This window comes from Homo sapiens, chromosome 19, assembly GCF_000001405.40.
Source record: "Homo sapiens chromosome 19, GRCh38.p14 Primary Assembly".
In the NCBI taxonomy this organism is placed as follows: domain Eukaryota; kingdom Metazoa; phylum Chordata; class Mammalia; order Primates; family Hominidae; genus Homo; species Homo sapiens.
In genome coordinates this window covers 13,774,285-13,792,797 of record NC_000019.10, presented here as the reverse complement: position 1 = coordinate 13,792,797, position 18,513 = coordinate 13,774,285, and the positions used below count along the sequence as shown (strand labels likewise).

Below are 18,513 nucleotides of genomic sequence, written 5' to 3'. Positions count from 1 at the left end.
TAAAAATACAAAAATTAGGGCCGGGCACAGTGGCTCACGCCTGTAATCCCAGCACTTCGGGAGGCCGAGGCGGGCGGATCATGAGGTCAGGAGATGCAGACCATCCTGGTTAACACGGTGAAACCCCGTCTTTATTAAAAATACAAAAAAATTAGCCTGGCGTGGGGGCGGGCACCTGTAGTCCCAGCTACTCCGGAGGCTGAGGCAGGAGAATGGCGTGAACCCGGGAGGTGGAGCTTGCAGTGAGCTGAGATCGCGCCACTGCACTCCAGCCTGGGCAATAGAGCAAGACTCCGCCTCAAAAAACAAAACAAAACAAAACAAAACAAAAATCAGCTGGGCGTGGTGGCGGGCGCCTGTAATCCCAGCTGCTTGCGAGGCTGAGGCAGGAGAATCACTTGAACCCAGGAGGCGGAGTTTGCAGTGAGCCAAGATTGCACCACGGCACTCCAGCCTGGGCAACAAAGTGAGACTCTGTCTCAAAAAAAAAAAAAAAAAGACAGAACAAAAGAAAGCAAATGTTTAGTGTTGTTAACATGTTGAAATTATATTTTAGATAAACTTGGTTTAATAAAATACATTATTAAAATTGATTTCATATATTTTCTTTTACATGGTTTCAGGACATTTAAATTACGTATGTAGGCTGGGTACAGTGGCTCAGGGCTGTAATCCCAGCACTTTGGAAGGCCGAGGCGGGCAGATCATCTGAGGTCAGGAGTTTAAGACCAGCTTAGGCGGGGCGCGGTGGCTCACTCCTGTAATCCCAGCACTTTGGGAGGCCGAGGAGGGCGGATCGCAAGGTCAGGAGTTTGAGACCAGCCTGGCCAACATAGTGAAACCCCGTCTCTACTAAAAATACAAAAAATTAGCTGGGCCTGGTGGCGGGTGCCTGTAATCCCAGCTACTTGGGAGGCTGAGGCAGGAGAATGGCGTGAACCCGGGAGGTGGAGGTTGAAGTAAGCTGAGATCACAGTGTTGCACTCCAGCCTGGGCGACAGAACGAGACTCCGTCTCAAAAAAAGAAAAAAAAAAAAAAAGACCAGCTTGGCCAACATGGTGAAACCTGTCTCTACTAAAAATACAAAAAATTAGCCAGGCATGGTGGTGCGTGCCTGTAATCCCAGCTACGTGGGAGGCTGAGGGAGGAGAATCGCTTGAACCTGGGAGGCAGAGGTTGCAGTGAGCCAACATCGCACCACTGCACTCCAGCCTGGGTGAAAGAGTGAGACTCCATCTCAAAAAAAATATATATATATATATATAAAATAAATAAATAAAGTAAAATAAAATAAAATAACATATGTGGCAGGGCACAGTGGTTGGTCCCTGTAAACACAGCACTTTGGGAGGCTGAGCGGAGAGCAGCACTTGAGTCCAGGAGTTTGTGACTGGGCTAGGCAACACAGTGAGATGCTATCTCAAAAATAAATAAGTAAATAAATAAATAAATAAAAGTATATATGTGTCTCAAGTTGTATTTCTTTCTTTTTTTCCTTTTTTGTTTTTTGTTTTTTTTTTTTTTGAGCCGGAGTCTCGCTCTGTCACCAGGCTGGAGTGCAGTGGCGCGATCTCGGCTCACTGCAACCTCACTTGAACCTTGGGTTCAAGCAAGTCTCCTGCCTCAGCCTCCCAAGTAGCTGGGACTATAGGTGTGCGTCACCACACCCGGCCAATTTTTGCATTTTTAATAGAGATGGGGTTTTACCATGTTGGCCAGGCTGGTCTCGAACTCCTGACTTCAAGTGATCCACCTGCCTTGGCCTCCCAAAGTCCTGGGATTACAGGCGTGAGCCACCATCCCTGGTTAATTTTTTTTTTTTTTTGAGACGGAGTTTCGCTTTTGTTGCCCAGGCTGGAGTGCAATGGCGTGATCTCGGCTCACCGCAGCCTCCACCTCCCGGGTTCAAGCGATTCTCCTGCCTCGCCTCCCAAGTAGCTGGGATTACAGGCACCCGCCACCATGCCCTTCTAATTTTTGTATTTTTAGTAGAGACGGGGTTTCTCCATGTTGGTCAGGCTGGTCTGGAACTCCCGACCTCAGGTGATTTGCCTGCTTCTGCTTCCCAAAGTGTGAGGATTACAGGTGTGAGCCAGCATGCCTGGCCAATTTTTTTGAATTTTGATAGAGAGGAAGTCTTGTTGTGTTGCCCATGGTCTTGAATTCCTGAGTTCAAGCAATCCTTCCGCCTCGGCCTCCCAGATTGCTGGGATTACAGGCGTGAGCCACCACATCCGGCTTGAGTTGTATTTCTGTTAGACAGTGCCCGTCTTGAGAAACCACAGCCTGCCACAGTGATAGCAACAGAAATAGCAATAATAATAATGTGTTGAGTGCTCATGCAATGCCCGTAGCTATGGAGATAAACGCTGAAGTATAAGCCGTCAAACAGTGTTGCAAAGTGGGGACTGTCACTTCCATTTCTTAGAGGAGGAAACTGAGGCTTGGAGAGGCTGAGCCACTTGCTTGAGGTCACCCAGCAGTAGGAGCTGGACTAGTGGAAGTCAACTGGGGGCTGCTTTGGAGCCCTAGACTTACTGGGGTATCTCCTTGCATAGGATTTAGACTTATGGGGAGTGAGTAACTGGGGTCAGAGGAGACACAGGGAGGAGTTCAAGCAAAGGATGGCCGGGTGCAGTGGCTCACACCTGTAATCCCAGCACTTGGGGAAGCTGAAGTGGGAGGATTGCTTGAGTCCAGGAGTTCAAGACCAGGCTGGGCAATATAGCGAGACCCCCCTCCCCCATTTCTAAAAATTTATTTGATGTTTATTTATTTATTTATTTTTTAATTTTTGAGATGGAGTCTTGCTGTGTAGCCCAGGCTGGAGTGCAGTGGTGCGATCTTGGCTCACTGTAACCTCTGCCTCCCGGGTTTAAGTGATTCTCCTGCCTCAGCCTCCCGAGTAGCTGGGTTTACAGGCATGTGCCACCACACCGGGCTAATTTTTTTGTATTTTTAATAGAGACGGTGTTTCACCGTGTTAGCCAGGCTGGTCTCGAACTCCTGACGTTGTGATCCACCCACCTCGGCCTCCCAAAGTGCTGGGATTACAGGCGTGAGCCACTGCACCTGGCCTATTTATTTATTAGTTTATTTATTTATTTTGAAATGGAGTCTTGCTCTGTTGCCCAGGCTGGAGTGCGGTGGCGAGTCTCAGGTCACTGCAAGCTCCACATCCTAGGGTCAAGCAATTCTCCTGTTTCAGCCTCCCGAGTAACTGGGACTATAGACGAGCGCCACTATACCCAGAAAATTTTTGTATTTTTACTAGAGACGGGGTTTCACCATGTTGGCCAGGCTGGTCTCAAACTCCTGACCTCAGGTTATCTGCCTGCCTCGGCCTCCCAAAGTGCTGGGATTACAGGTGTGAGCCACTGTGCCTGGCCTAAATTTTTTTTTTTTTTAATTAACCGGGTGTGGTGGTGCGCATCTGTAGTCCCAGCTACTCAGGAAGCTGTGGTGGGAGGATTGCTTGAGCCTAGAAGGTTGAGGCTGCAGTGAGCCATGATTGCGCCACTGCACTCCAGTCTGGGCGACAGAGCCAGACCTCGTCTCAAGAAAAAACAAACCAAGACAGAACAAAAATGAAAAGCATGTCTTTCTGGTGCTCCCCTTGCAAACAGGACCTCAGGGCTGGCTTTTCCCAGCAGCCCTCTTCAGCATCTGATACGTGGCTATGTCGGCTAAGTCTAGCTTTGAAAGGGCTCCAATGTACGTCCTGTAATGCTGAATCAGAGAAGTCACTCTAGGCCAGTGGGTAGACTTTAGGAGGAACACAGAATGGGGTATCAGAGGGTGAGAATGTCTTATTTAATTCTCTAACAATAGATACTAACATATATATATAGAGAGAGAGACAGACAGAGAGAGAGTCTTGCTCTGTTGCTCAGGCTGGAGTGCAGTGGAGCGATCTCAGCTCACTACAGCCTCCGCCTCCCGGGTTCAAGCTATTCTCCTGCCTCAGCCTCCTGAGTAGCTGGGATCACAGGGCAAACCCGGCTAATTTTTGTATTTTTAGTAGAGATGGGGTTTCACCATGTTGGCCAGGCTGGTCTCGAACTCCTGACATCAGGTCATCCACGCTCCTCCGCCTCCCAAAGTGCTGGGATTACAGGTGGGAGCCACTACGCCCTGCCTTCAAACAGCTAACCCTGTTTTGAGACAGGGTCTTGCTCTGTTGCGTGGGTTGAAGTGCAATGGCGTGATCACGACTTGCTGCAGCTTCAACCTCCCGGGCTCAAGTGGTCCACCTGCCTCAGCCTCGTGAGTAGCTGAGACTGCAGGCGTGTAGCACTATGCCTGGCTAATTTTTTAAAACAATTTTTTTAAAAGAGATGGGGTCTCACTATGTTGGCCAGGCTGATCTTGAGCTCCTGGGCTCAAGCGATCGATCCTTCCACCTTGGCTTCCCAAAGTGCTGGGATTACAGGTGTGAGGGGCTGTGCCCAGCCAGTCCCATCTACTTGAAAGGCAGAGGAGGTAGGATCGCTTATGCCTCGGAGTTCAAGACCAGCCTGGACAATATAGCAAGACTCTTGTCTCAAAAAAAAAAAAAAAAAAAAAAAAGAGGAAAAAAAGGAGTTTGATGGGGGTAGTTCCAACCACCTGCGTCCTTCCTTCTCAGTAAAGCCAGCAAGCTTGGGCTTTGGGGAAATGGAAGCCAGATTGATCCTGCCCGCGCCCAGCGTGAGCTCACTGTCTAGGCATGTACAGCTCCTGACCCCAAACCACGTGTGCTCTCAACCCGTGGAAGATGGGGCTACCCTGGGGGCTCAGATGAAGGTGGAGACAAGGACCCCCAGCTCGTGGATATCTCCACCCTAGCTTTCTGAGGGTCCCTCCCTTCTGCCAGCCCCCTGCAGCACCCCCAGCCACCGTTGACTCAGGCAGGAAACCAGCTGGGTAGGCTTCGCTTGCTTCCTGGTCGCGACGACGCAGCCCCTCCGGCATGCGCAGCTGGCAAGATTTCCTTCTTGCATTTCTTTTCTTTCTTTTTGAAACAGAAGTTCATGGGCAAAGTGTCAGGGCCCTGCCAGGAGAAGTGGTCGTGCCAGGTCGAGGCGGGGGAAGGTGGAGGCAGGAGAGAAAGGCTTAGGCAAGAATAACTGTGTTTTTTTGTTTTTTTTTTTTGTTGTTGTTTTTTTTTGAGACGGAGTTTCGCTCTTGTTGCCCAGGCCAGGCTGGAGTGCAATGGCGCGATGTTGGCTCACCGAAACCTCCACCTCCTGGGTTCAAGTGATTCTCCTGCCTCAGCCTCCTGAGTGGCTGGGATTACAGGCATGTGCCACCACGCCAGGCTTATTTTGTATTTTTAGTAGAGGCAGGGTTTCTCCATGTTGGTCAGGCAGGTCTCAAACTCCTAACCTCAGGTGATCCGCTCGCCTCAGCCTCCCAAAGTATTTTTTTTTTGAGACGGAGTCTCGCTTGCTCTGTTGCCCAGGCTGGAGTGCAGTGGCGGATCTTGACTCACTGCAACCTCTGCCTCCTGGGTTCAAGCAGGAGTTCAAGCAGCTTGAACCTCCTGGGTTCAAGCTGGATTCTCCTGCCTCAGCCTCCCTGTAATGGGATTACACGCCTGTAATCCCAGCACTGTAATCCCCGCCGCCAGCACTGTAATCCCCGCCGCCAGCCAAGGCGGGCGGATCACGAGGTCAGGAGATCGAGACCATCCTGGCTAACATGGTGAAACCCCGTCTCTACTAAAAAAGACAAAATTAGCTGGGCATGGTGGCGGGCGCCTGTGGTCCCAGCTACTCGGGAGGCTGAGGCAGAAGAATGGTGTGAACCCGGGAGGCGGAGCTTGCAGTGAGTCGAGATCGCGCCACTGCACTCCAGCCTGGGTGACAGAGCAAGACTCCGTCTCAAAAAAAAAAAAAAAGAAAGAAATTGGTATGTCCCTTATCCTTAGGCTCCTGAATTCACACTGAGAGGGAGTGGGGATCCCAATGTAACAGACAGAGAAACTGAGGCTCAGAAAGGCTTTAATTTTTTTTTTTTTTTGAGACAGAGTCTCACTCAGTCGCCCAGGCTGGGGTGGGGTGCAGTGACGTGATCTCGGCTCACTACAACCTTTGCCTCCCAGGTTCAAGCGATTCTCCTGCCTCAGCCCCCCGAGTAGCTGGGACTACAGGCGCCCGCCACCACGCCTGGCTAATTTTTGTATTTTTAGTAGAGATGGGGTTTCGCCATATTGGCCAGGCTGGTCTTGAATTCCTGACCTCAGGTGATCCACCTGCCTCGGCCTCCCAAAGTGCTGGGATTATAGGCGTGAGCCACAGCGCCCGGCCAATAACTGTCAGGAAAAGCCACATTTAATGACGCCTCTGTCCCTGGGAGAGGGGAGCTAGGGAGGGACAGAGAGGACGGGGGATGGCAGGACTTGGGTTCCCACTGCTCTGCCCCCAGCACACAAGCGCAGCTCCTAGTCACATTGGTATGTCCCGCCAGGCGCGGTGGCTCACGCCCGTAATCCCAGCACTTTGGGAGGCCGAGGCGGGCGGATCATGAGGTCAGGAGTTGAGACCGTCCTGGCTAACACGGTGAAACCCCGTCTCTACTAAAAAACACAAAAAATTAGCCGGGCATGGTGGCGGGTGCCTGCAGTCCCAGCCACTCCGGAGGCTGAGGCAGGAGAATGGTGTGAACCGGGAGGCGGAGCTTGCAGTGAGTCGAGATCGCACCACTGCACTCCAGTCTGGGCGACAGAGCGAGACTCCATCTCAAAAAAAAAAAAAAAAAAAAAAATTGGTATGTCCCTTATTCTTAGGCTCCTGAACTCACACTGAGGGGGAGTGGGGATCCCAATGTAACAGACAGAGAAACTGAGGCTCAGAAAGGTTTTAATTTTTTTTTTTTTTGAGACAGAGTCTCAGTTGCCCAGGCTGGGGTGGGGTGCAGTGACATGATCTCAGCTCACTACAACCTTCACCTCCCAGGTTCAAGTGATTCTCCTGTCTCAGCCTCCCGTTTTGTTTTGTTTTGTTTTGTTTTGTTTTTTGAGACAGAGTCTCACTCAGTCGCCCAGGCTGGGGTGGGGTGCAGTGACGTGATCTCGGCTCACTACAACCTCCGCCTCCCGGGTTCAAGCGATTCTCCTGCCTCAGCCTCCCGAGTAGCTGGGATTACAGGCGCGCACCACCACACCCGGCTAATTTTTGTACTTTTGGTAGAGACGAGGTTTCTTCATGTTGGCCAGGCTGGTGTTGAACTCCTGACCTCAAGTGATCTGCTGGCCTCAGCCTCCCAAAGTGCTGAGATTACAGGCATGAGCCACGGCCCCAGGCTGAGACTCAGAAAGGTGAAGGGACTTGACGGTCACACAGTCAAAAAGTGGCAGAACCTGGCAAAGAACTCAAGGTGTGGGTTCTTCCGGAGTCTGGGGCTCCTGGCTCCAGCACTAATCAGGGCTTGGGGGAGTGCAGGAGGGGAAAGTCACCCAGGAAAGTGAAGGGGAAAATGAGGCTGTTTGGGGAGCCCTGAGGGGAGAGGTGAAGGGGGAATGGGTGAGTGCACATTCCAGACCCCATACCTGCAGTGCCTGAAAGCCCTTCCTTGCCCCTGGGGTGCTCCTCGAAGGGGCTGGCGTCAGAGGCACAAAGGGAGCCAGAATGCAGGATTCCTGGGCTGGTCGAGACGCCACCAGCCTGCGGGTGGATTTAACCCCGGTTAGAGGCGCCTCCTGGTGTCCAACTCCGGTGCCAGATGGCACCCAGAGCCCACCCCGTCCTGGCCCAGAGCCCACCCCGTCCTGGCCCTTGCCTTTCTGATTCCAGATAGAAAGACCGGAAGCTAATTTTTTGAAGGTGGCAAAATCACCACTCCCTTAACATATAAAGATGAATGGGTGCTAAAATGTTTTTTTCTTCCTGTTCGCCAGGTCAGAAATTTTTTTTGTTTCTTTTTTGTGTTTTTTTGTCTCTTCTTTTTTTCTTTCTTTTTTTTTTTGAGACAGAGCTTGCTCTGTTGCCCAGGCTGGAGTGCAATGGCACGATCTTGGCTTACTGCAACTTTCGTTTCCCGGGTTCAAGCGATTCTTCTGCCTCAGCCTCATGAGTAGCTGGGACTATAGGTGCCTGCCACCACGCCCGGCTAATCTATTTATTTTTAGTAGAGACGGGGTTTCACCATGTTGGCCAGGTTGGTCTCGAACTCCTAACCTCAGGTGATCTGCCTGCCTTGGCCTCCCAAAGTGCTGGGATTACAGATGTGAGCCACCACACCTAGCCTTGTTTTTCTCTTAATTTCACTGATGTGGGAAACAGGCAGATGTTATGTTCAAGAGAGTCTGAAAAAGACACTTTTGTTTTTGAGATGGGGCCTTGCTGCATCGCCCAAGCTGGAGTGCAGTGGTGCGATTTGGGCTCATTGCAGCCCCAACCTCCCGTGCTCAAGTGACCCTCCCAGTTCAGTCTCTGGAGTAGCTGGGACTCCAGGCATGCCCCACCACACCCAGCTAATTTTTAAAAATGTTTTGCAGAGATAGGGTCTTGCTATGTTGCCCAGGCTGGTCTTGAACTCCTGGCCTCGAGCAATCTGCCCACCTCCGCCTCCCAAAGTGCTGGGATTAGGCTGGGCGCAGTGGCTCACACCTGTAATCCCACACTTTGGGAAGCCAAGGTAGGCGGATCACTTGAGGTCAGGAGTTCGAGACCAGTCTGGGCAACATGGTGAATCCCCATCTCTACTAAAAATACAAAAATTAGGCGGGTGTGGTGGCGCGCGCCTGTAGTCCTAGCTACTCGGGAGGCTGGGGCAGGAAAATCTCTTGAACCCAGGAGGCGGAGGTTGCCCTGAGCTGAGATCATGCCATTGCACTCCAGCCTGGGTGACAGAGGGAGACGATCTAAAAAACATCATCATCATTAACAAAAACCACACACAGACACACACAAAGTGCTGGGACTGCAGGTGTGAGCCAGGGTGCCTGACCTTGAAAAAGACACTTTAGAAATCAAGCTGTTGAAGCAAAGGTGTGAATGTAGGCAAATTCGGTTTTCCACAGGGGAATAAGCGTTGTCAACTGAACCTCTAGGCTGGACAGGATATGACATTTGCATGTCTGTAGATAAGAACTATTTTGTATTGCTATCAATTTTCACAACTTACAGAGTTGTAAAATAGTTCAAAGACAATGATATGAATCAGGTACTCCGGAGAGGGTGTATTGTTTAGGAAGGGTGTATTGTTTATAGCTAAGGGGCTGAATGAACCATTGAATAATCATAACTCATTCACTGAAACAAAAGGTTTTAGAAGGAACCGTTCCTTCAATAAACACCTGCTCATCGAGTGCCTATTGTGAGCTGTTCTAGTTGCTTGAGACACAGCCCCGAACAGAGTCGGGGTCCTTGAGAAGCAAAGTAGAAACAGAGGAAAGTAACAGAAAGTGACCCTGGCTAAGAAGACAATCAAACAGGCCACTTCTGGGGGCAGGGGACAAAGAAGGCTTCTCTGAGGTGATGTCTCGGGGGAAGGAACTGTGGGCACAAAGGCAGGGAGGACTGTGGCCTGGATGGGAAGGGGATACAAACTTGGTGTTGTCTCTTTTTTCTGTTGTCACTGGAATGTCAGGTTTGTTTTGTTTTGTGTTTTTGAGACAGAGTCTTGCTCTGCCGCCCAGGTGGAGTGCAGTAGCATGATCTCAGCTCACTGCAACCTCTGCCTCCTGGGTTCAAGCGATTCTCCTGCCTCAGCCTCCTGAGTAGCTGGGATTATAGGTGTGTGCCACGATGCCGGCCAATTTTTGTATTTTTAGTAGAGACAGGGTTTCACCATGTTGGCCAGGCTGGTCTTGAAGTCCTGACCTCAAGTGATCCACCTGCCTCAGCCACCCAAAGTGCTGGGATTAGAGGCGTGAACCATCACGGCCAGCCTGAATGTTAGTTCTTAGTTCTGCCTAGAAGAGAGGTTGGCATGAAGTAGTCACAATAGCTGGGTGTGGTGGCTCATGTCTACAATCCCAGCAGTTTGGGAGGCTGAAGTGGGACGATGGCTTGAGGCCAAAATCAGTCGGGGCAACATAGGGAGACCCTGTCTCTACGGAAAATAAAAAAATTAGCTGGGCGTGGTGGTGCATGCCTGTGGTTCCAACTACTAGGGAGGCTGAGGTGGGAGGATCACTTGAGTGTAGGAGTTTGAGTTTGCAGTGACTTATGATCTCACCACTGCAGTCGCGACACAGCAAGACGCTGTCTCTAAAAAAATATAAAAGTAATCACAATAAGTACTGAACAAGGAGAACTTGGTTTCTCAAGTTACCCGTCTGGCCCTCTTCTAAGTTATACTTTCCTTCTTTCCTTTCCTTATTGTTTTAAGGCTTTTTAATAAACTTTCATTCCTGCTCTGAAAAAAAAAAATACTGAATGAGCCAAGTGGCCCTACCTGAAAGGCCTTAAGTCAGCTGGGTGGCTCATGCCTGTAATCCCAGCACTTTGGGAGGCCAAGGCAGGAAGATCGCTTGAGGTAGAAGTGTTTGAGACCAGCCTGGACAACATAGTGAGACCCCATCTCCCAAAACAAAAAAACAAAAAACAAAACAAAAAAAAAAACAGCTCATGCCCAGTGTCTCACATCTGTAATCCCAGCACTTTGGGAGGCCGAGGTGGGCAGATCACCAGAGGTCAGGAGTTCGAGACCAGCCTGGCCAACATGGTGAAACCCCATCTCTACTAAAAAAAAATTACCCGAGTGTGGTGGTGTGTGCCTATAGTCCCAGTTACTCGGGATGCTGAGGCAGGATAATCACTTGAACCCGGGAGGCGGAGGTTGTAGTGAGCCGAGATCACGCCACTGCACTCCAGCCTGGGTGACAGAGGGAGACTCCATCTCAAAAAAATAAAAAATAAAAAAAAAAATAAAACAAAACCAAGGGCAGAAGTCAATTACTGCCTGAGGTGGGCAGACAGCCAGAGAAACCAGGTTCCCTAGATGGGGCTCAAGGATGTGTGCCCTGGAAGCTGGAACAGCCAATCCCCAGCCCTGAACAGAGGCCGGGGATTGGCTGTGAAAGGGAAGCCCAGAAAGGAAAGAGCTACCCTTATCCCTCAGTCTGAGATCTGGGCCTCATTCATCCTCCAGCCCCTCCCTCCCCCTCCAGAAACAATGAGGGCGGGGCCTTCCTGGCAGCTTGGGAAACGCCAGACTACTCAGTCTTTCCATCTCATGCGTGCGGCTTCCACTGCCCTGATTCCTGATTTTTCAAGATGCTAAGTTAGGACTTTTTAATGAAATTTCTCTCTGCATGTTTGGGCGGGGAGGGGTGGTGGTGCTAAAATTCACCATTTTATTTTAATTATTTTTTGAGACCATGTCTCACTCTGTCACCCAGGCTGACATGCAATGGCACCATCTTGGCTCACTGCAACCTCCGCCTCCCAGGTTCAAGTGATTCTCCTGCCTCAGCCTCCCAAGTGGCTGGGATTACAGGCACTCACCACCATACCCGGCTAATTTTTGTATTTTTAGTAGAGTTGGGGTTTTGCCATATTGGCCATGCTGGTCTCGAACTCCTGGCCTCAAGTGATCCACCGGCCTTGGCCCCCCAAAGTTCTGGGATTACAGTTATGAGCCACCACGCCCGGCCTAATGCACCATTTTAAAGTGCACAGTTCAGTATAATCACAATGTTGTACAATCACTTCTGACTCCAGGACATTTTCATACCCCTTGAAAAGAAACCCCATTCCCGCTCCCTCAGCCCCTGGCAATCACTCATCTGCTTTCTCCCCCCATGGATTTGCCTGTTTGGGACATTTCATGTAAGTGGGACGATTCAAGATGTAGCCTTTTGTGTCTCGCTTTGTTCACTTAGTTTATTTTCAGGCTCATTCTTGTAGTTTCCTGGATCAGTGCTTCATTCCTTTTTAAGAGTCGGGATCTGGCTTTGTCACCCAGGCTGGAGTGCAGTGGTGAGATCATAGCTCACTGCTGCCTTCAACTCCCAGGCTCAAGTGATCCTCCTGCCTCAGCCTCCTAAGTAGTTGGGATGACAGGCATGAGCCACTGCACTTGGCCTTCCTCCCCAAGGGTGAATATTCTATTGAAGGATAGACCTCAGTTTATCCCTTCATCCGTAGATGGATGTGTGGGCTGTGTCCATTTTTTCTTTTTTTTTTTGAGACGGAGTCTCACTCTGTCGCCCAGGCTCGAGTGCAATGGCACGATTTCCGCTCACTGCAACCTCGGTCTCCCGGGTTCAAGCGATTCTCCTGTGTCAGCCTCCTGAGTAGCTGATATTACAGGCGTGTACCACCACGCCCGGCTAATTTTTGTTTTTTTTTGAGACGGAGTCTTGCTGTGTTGCCCAGGCTGGAGTGCAGTGCCGCGATCTCGGCTCACTGCAAGCTCCGCCTCCCAGGTTCACGCCATTCTCCTGCCTCAGCCTCCCAGGTAGCTGGGAGTACAGGCGCCAGCCACCACACCTGGCTAATTTTTTGTATTTTTAGTAGAGACAGGGTTTCACCATGTTAGCCAGGATGGTCTCAATCTCCTGACCTCATGATCCACCCGCTTCGGCCTCCCAAAGTGCTGGGATGACAGGTGTAAGCCACCACACCTGGCCTAATTTTTGTGTTTTTAATAGAGACGGGGTTTCACCCTGTTGGTCAGGCAGGTCTTGAACTCGACCTCGTGATCGGCCTGCCTCAGCCTCTCAAAGTGCTGGGATTACAGGCATGAGCCACTGCGCCTGGCCTGTGTCCACCTTTTCGCTATTGTGAGCAGTGCTGCTATTTACATGGATATGCAAATCTACAAGTGAACATGTCTTCCATTCTTCTGGGAATATACCTAGGAGCGGAATTGCTGGGTCATACGGTAGCTCCACAATGAACTTACTGAAGAACCACTGAACTGTTTTTCCCCTCTTTATAGCCTGTAATCCCAGCATTTTGGGAGGCTGAGGTGGGTGGATCACTTGAGGTCAGGAGTTTGAGACCAGCCTGGTCAACATGGTGAAACCCCGTGTCTACTAAAAATACAAAAATTATCTGGGTGTGGTGGCACATGCCTATAATCCCAGCTACTTGGGAGGCTGAGGTGTCAGGATCGCTTGAGCCTGGGACACAGAGGTAACAGTGAGCCACGATCATGCCACTGCACTCCAGAGCAAGACTCTGTCTGAAAAAAAAAAAAAAAAGGCAAAATCTTGACTGTCACTGTGTGGAACCCAGAAAACACACTTGAGATGGGGTTTGGGGGTAGCTGCTGGTGACCCAGCACCTCTGTCTCCTTGGTAGGTGAGGTGGCCAGGAGTGGATAAGCCACTAGGGAACCAGTCACCCCACCCCGTCTCAGGGTAGAAGCTGACTGTATGCACAGGTACCACTCCCCAAAGACAGCAGTTCAGTATCACCCAGACTACAGCCCAACTTTTCCCTGTGCTGTGACCTTGACCTGGATCCAGTGAAGGGAGAAAAGGAAGGTTATCAGGCCAGAGATCCCAGAATATTCCATAGGTACTGTGTGGCACAACAGACTCAAACAATTTGGAGGTGGAGGAACTCCAGGATGGGCAGAAGTGAATTCTGGTCTTGACAGTGACAGGTAGCCAGAGGGTCAGCTGAGAGCACGGATCAGGACTCTGCCAACTACGGGATCAATTCCACTCTGGAACATTATGCAGGACCTGAACAGGGCATCCTGCTAGATGACATGTATAACGCATTAGAACTTGTGGGGCATGGTGGATCACACCTGTAATCCTAGCACTCTGGGAGGCCAAGGCAGGACGACTGCTGGAGGCCATGAAGTTGAGACCAGCCTGGGCAACTTAGCAAGACCCCACATCTACAAAAAGCAATAAATCAGCTGGGCATGGCAGTGCATGCCTGTAGTTCCAACTACTTGGGAGGCTGAGGTGGGAGGATTGCTTGAGCCTGGAAGATGGAGGCTGAAGTGAGCTATGATTGTGCCACTGCACTCCAGCCTGGGCGACAGTGCGGCCTGGCTCATAGGTAGTGCTACCACTGGCTGTCCTGACTACCTTACAGTTGGCACTCTTTAACCAGGTAGTACCACGTGGTTTCTGAATGTATTCCGGTTTAATCGGCACCTTGGTCCTGTGAGGTGGCATCTGACCTACTGATGTCCAGCTTGACTCTGGTTGTGTCCCCAGGGGTGAGGACTGGCCAGGGAGTGAGTCACCCGGGGTTAAATGGAGAAAAGACTCTTTCCCGGCTCTCAGGCTCAGGGCCAGAGGTGTAGAAGCCCAGCTGTCCCCTGGGCACATGGTTGCTAAAGGCGGTGGGGTGGGGTGGAGCACGCCAGGCCACGTCACTCATGGAGACTTGTGGGCTCACCTGGCCTGCTCACCCGAACACAGGACTGCAAGAGGGATGACAAAGCCAGGTTTATTGTTCTGGGTTAAACCTGTGGAGGCAGGACCTGGGAAGGGGCACGGGGACAGATGAAGTTAGTGACTGTATCTTCCTGGTCATTGCTGGGTTCTCAGCACCCTTGGCCCCCACTGAAGTTCTAGGTGAAGCCCAGTGCTGGGGGACAGGGTCCTCTTCCTGACAGTGCAGCCTGTGGGATGACTTGCAAGGTCCCATATGGAGGTAGGGGGTGGGATGTTGGCCTGCACTGGGGCCAGCGTCCTCAGGAAGGTGTCTTGGAGGAGGTGGCGGCAGCTGCCCCTTTCTTCTTGGCTGGGGCCTTCAGCAGTGCCAGCTTCTTGGGCAGGCTGCTGCTGGCTTTCATCACCACGTCATGTTCGATCTTCTTCCGGATTCCGACTTCTAGGTTCTGAGGGAGAAGCACGGGGCAGTCAGATTGTGACCTGGGGCTGAGAGAGGGCCTGACCAGTCACCCTCTTCCTGGCTAGAGCTCGCAGGGGGCTAGATCAGCAACTATCCCCTCGAACCGCACCTGACTGTGGGTCTGGTGGCTGGGGTTTAAGTCCTGCACTCTCCGGGGCCTCCACACACACAAAAATCCTCACTTCTGCACCTTGGCTTCTAAACCTCTGCTCATGCCCATTTTATGGATGGGGAAACAGTCTGCTGCAGCCAGGAGGCACTGGTTGCCCAGGTCCCTAAACTGCATGGGATCCGGCGTGCCCACAGCCTCTGGTCCCAGCCTCTAGAAGGGCAGCCTCCTCTGCCCCAGGTCATCTCTGCTTTGCAGACGGCAAGCTGAGGATCTGAAGAGTGGGCAAGGGAGCTGGCAAGTAAGGCACAAGCGTGGGGCAAAACCAGCAGTGTGAACCCCAAACTGGTGGCTCAGTCGCCTTTCCCAGACTGCCTCTGCCCTGCCATTCTGAGTTCCGACGGACTGGGTGTGGTGGCTCAAGCCTGTGATCCCAGCACTTTGCGAGGCTGAGGCAGGAAGATCACTTGAGCCCAGGAACTCGAGACCAGCCTGGGCAACACAGCGAGACTGCATCTGTACTAAAAGAAAGAATTAGCACGGTGTGCTGGTGCGTGCCTCTCGTCTCAGCTGTTTGGGTGGTCGAGCCCAGGAGGTCCAGGCTGCAGTGAGCTATGATCGTTCCACTACACTGCAGCCTGGGGGACAGCGTGAGACCGTCTCAAAGAAAAAAAAAAAAGTTCCGGCTGGGTGCAGTGGCTGTAATCCCAGCACCTTGGGAGGCCAAGGCAGGCATATCACCTGAGGTCAGGAGCTCTAGACCAGGCTGGCCAACATGGTGAAACCCAATCTCTACTAAAAACACAAAAAGTAGCCAGGTGTGGTGGCGGGCGCCTGTAATCCCAGCTACTCGAGAGGCTGAGGCAGGAGAATTGCTTGAACCCAGGAGGCAGAGGTTGCAGTGAGCCCAGACCGCACCACTGCACTCCAGCCTGGGCAACAAGAACGAAACTCTATCTCAAAACAAAAACAAAAAACAAAAACAGTTCCAATGACCACGATCACCAGCATCGGGACAGCTAACCAGGTGCCTGGATGCAGGGGTCATGGAGCTGGAATTCAGTGCATGTACCGGGACAATATAAGCATCAGTAGCGTAATATGTTACACTGTTAAAGGATGGTAAGCGCTGCTATGGCAAAGAGGAAACAGGAGTGAGGAGGGATGGGTACAGGTCACCATCAAGGCAGGCCTCTTTGAAGAGAGTTGGAAGAAGGGAGCAGTGTGTATTATTGGGAGAGGAATCCAGGCAGAGGAAACAGCCAGTGCAAAAGTTCTCAGGTGGGACAAGGAGCCCAGGAAGGGCTCCGGGAAGGAGGGGTCAGGGGCCAGTAAGGCTAGAGGGAGTTAGCAGAGGAGAGGGTGGAAGGAGACGAGGGCAGATTCTACAGGGCCTTGTGGCTGAGTGAGGACTGGACCTTTTTCCTGGGTGAGGTGGAAGCCATGGAGGATTCTGAGCCAAGGAGGGAGGGAACCGACTCAGGTGCTCATGGGCACCCTCTGGCTTCTGTGAGAGGACCAGGTGGGATCCAGGAGACAAGGGAGAAGGTGGCTGCACTGGTCCCGGTGGGAAATGATGTGGGTGGGACCAGGTAGGGGCCAAGAAGATGGGAGGCGGGTGGATTCTGGATTGATTCTAAGGGCAAAATAGGGGCGAGCACAGTGGCTCATGCCTGTAATCCCAGCACTTTGGGAGGCCGAGGCGGGTAGATCATGAGGTCAGGAGTTCGAGACCAGCCTGGCCAACATAGTGAAACCCCATCTCTACTAAAATTACAAAAAAAAAAAAAAAAAAAAAAAAAAATTAGCCCGGTGTGGTGGTGCAGGCCTGTAATCCCAGTTACTCGGGAGGCTGAGGGAGGAAAATCGCTTGAACCCAGGAGGCAGAGGTTGCACCTAAGCCAAGATCACTCAACTGCACTCCAGCCTGGGCGACAGAGCGAGACTCCATCTCAAAAAAACAAAACAAAACAAATGGGATGAGACCGGGATGTGAGAGAAAGGAGGGATTCAAGGATGACCTATGGCATCTGGAAGGAAGTGATCACAGGGGGAGGAGGGCAGAATGGGAAGGGAGGATCAGGAATTTGGTTTTGGACATGCTGAGTGCAAGGTGACCATGAGATTCCCCACTCCACGGAGGTAAGCGGGCCAGTGGGTACCCAGTTCTGAGAAAACCGACACTCTGGGGTGACGAAACAATTTGCTCAAGATCACAGGGCTGTTTACTGTGGAGTACAATTCAAACCCAGGTTTGACTCCCACCAAAACCAGTTTTAAATCTCCTTCCAACTTCTTTACAAGCTCAACCTTACCCATCTACATATAAATGTTGCACTTAAAAACAACCATAGGGTGGCTCACGCCTGTAATCCCAGCATTTTGGGAGGCAGAGGCGGGAGGATGCCTTGAGGCCAGGAGTTCAAGACCAGCCCGAGCAGCATAGTGAAACCTGTCTCTACCAAAAATACAAAAAAAATAAAATTAGCCGCGTATTGGCGAGCACCTGCAATTCTACCTACTCGAGAGGCTGAGACGGAAAGATTGCCTAAGTCCAGGAGGCTGAGGCTGCAGTGAGCTATAATGGGGCCACTGCACTCCAGCCTGGGCAACAGTGAGACCCTGACTCAAAAAAAAATGACGATAACCAACGCACCCTCACACTTCTTTGAGCCCTCTGCTGTTCTAGGTTTACAAAGCTGGGCTTTCAATTCCCTTCCCATGTCACCTCGCTGTCTTCCTGAGTTCAATTAAAGAAAACAGTAACAGCAAGAGGCTGACGTTATTGGAACCCTTTTTGGGCCGCAGGTCTTGCTTCTACGAGGCCCTTTTGAAGTGGTAAGTGGTGTTCCTGCACCCCTTGCACAAGGAAGAAAAGGGAGGCCCACAGAGCTGGGAGTCCTCCAGGCCTCATCCCTTGCCCTTTGCCGATCCCTGTGCTCCTTCCCTCGCCGGCCTCCAGATTTCATCTCTCGTCCCTAGCACGTCCCCCAGCCCCTATCCCTCGCCAGCTTCCACCTCTTACCCCTCTCTGCGCCCCGGGCTCCATCCTTCGCTCCTAACGCGGCCCCTGGCTCTATCCCCTCGCTCCTAGCTCGTCCCCAGGATCCACCCTCTCCCCTCACTGATCCCCGGGCTCCACCCATCCCCCCTCGCCGTCCTCCGGGTTCCACCCCTCGCTACTCGCCGCCCTCCGGGCTCCATCTCTCGCCCCCGCACACCTTCTTGAGCTTTTGCTGCTGCACGACGCGCGCCTTCTTGGGAGCGATAACACGACCTGGGGAAAGATGTGCTCACGTGAGGCCGGGAAGCCGGGGGTCCACCTCGCCCCCAAGTCCCCGGGCCGCTCCTTACCGCCTTTTCTTGGGCCCCGATTCTTTTCAGAGGCTGCCGCTGCCGTCTTACTCTTTGCGGGTTTGTGCGCCTGAAACTTGCGCTGCCCCTGCGCCATGGTCCGGCACGCAGCGGAAGAGGCGGGACTGTGAGCAGTCGTAGCCGGAAGGCACAGGGAACCATGGGATACAGCGGGGCGGAAAAACGCAAGAACTCACGGGATACAACGTGGCACAGAGTTAAAGAGACAGCATCCCACAAGGGTAGTGTAGTGGATCACAGTTGGAGTTTTCAAACATTACGAACAAAAC

General features: G+C 51.8%; 1 protein-coding gene across 1 annotated transcript, besides 5 other annotated features; it reads right to left on the bottom strand.

Moving 5' to 3' along the window:
- Positions 4,624 to 4,913: an enhancer, noted in NCBI's record as "active region_14136". NCBI's record gives its function as "activates an Ori minimal core promoter by ATAC-STARR-seq in GM12878 lymphoblastoid cells {active_cell/tissue: GM12878}" and the evidence as "EXISTENCE:reporter gene assay evidence [ECO:0000049][PMID:35858748]".
- Positions 5,978 to 6,939: an enhancer, noted in NCBI's record as "H3K4me1 hESC enhancer chr19:13896673-13897634 (GRCh37/hg19 assembly coordinates)". NCBI's record gives its function as "activates a minimal SCP1, AML or CMV promoter by ChIP-STARR-seq in primed H9 embryonic stem cells {active_cell/tissue: H9 hESC(primed)}" and the evidence as "EXISTENCE:reporter gene assay evidence [ECO:0000049][PMID:30033119]".
- On the bottom strand, positions 14,025 to 18,342 carry C19orf53 (chromosome 19 open reading frame 53). Its single transcript, NM_014047.3, has 3 exons — positions 18,224 to 18,342; positions 18,091 to 18,146; positions 14,025 to 14,746 (listed from the first exon to the last, which is right to left on the bottom strand). The coding sequence occupies exons 1-3, from the start codon at positions 18,318 to 18,320 to the stop codon at positions 14,600 to 14,602; spliced, it is 300 nt and encodes a 99-aa protein (NP_054766.1). The 5' UTR covers positions 18,321 to 18,342; the 3' UTR covers positions 14,025 to 14,599.
- Positions 17,277 to 17,805: an enhancer, noted in NCBI's record as "H3K27ac hESC enhancer chr19:13885807-13886335 (GRCh37/hg19 assembly coordinates)". NCBI's record gives its function as "activates a minimal SCP1, AML or CMV promoter by ChIP-STARR-seq in primed H9 embryonic stem cells {active_cell/tissue: H9 hESC(primed)}" and the evidence as "EXISTENCE:reporter gene assay evidence [ECO:0000049][PMID:30033119]".
- Positions 17,806 to 18,335: an enhancer, noted in NCBI's record as "H3K27ac hESC enhancer chr19:13885277-13885806 (GRCh37/hg19 assembly coordinates)". NCBI's record gives its function as "activates a minimal SCP1, AML or CMV promoter by ChIP-STARR-seq in primed H9 embryonic stem cells {active_cell/tissue: H9 hESC(primed)}" and the evidence as "EXISTENCE:reporter gene assay evidence [ECO:0000049][PMID:30033119]".
- Positions 18,312 to 18,511: an enhancer, noted in NCBI's record as "active region_14135". NCBI's record gives its function as "activates an Ori minimal core promoter by ATAC-STARR-seq in GM12878 lymphoblastoid cells {active_cell/tissue: GM12878}" and the evidence as "EXISTENCE:reporter gene assay evidence [ECO:0000049][PMID:35858748]".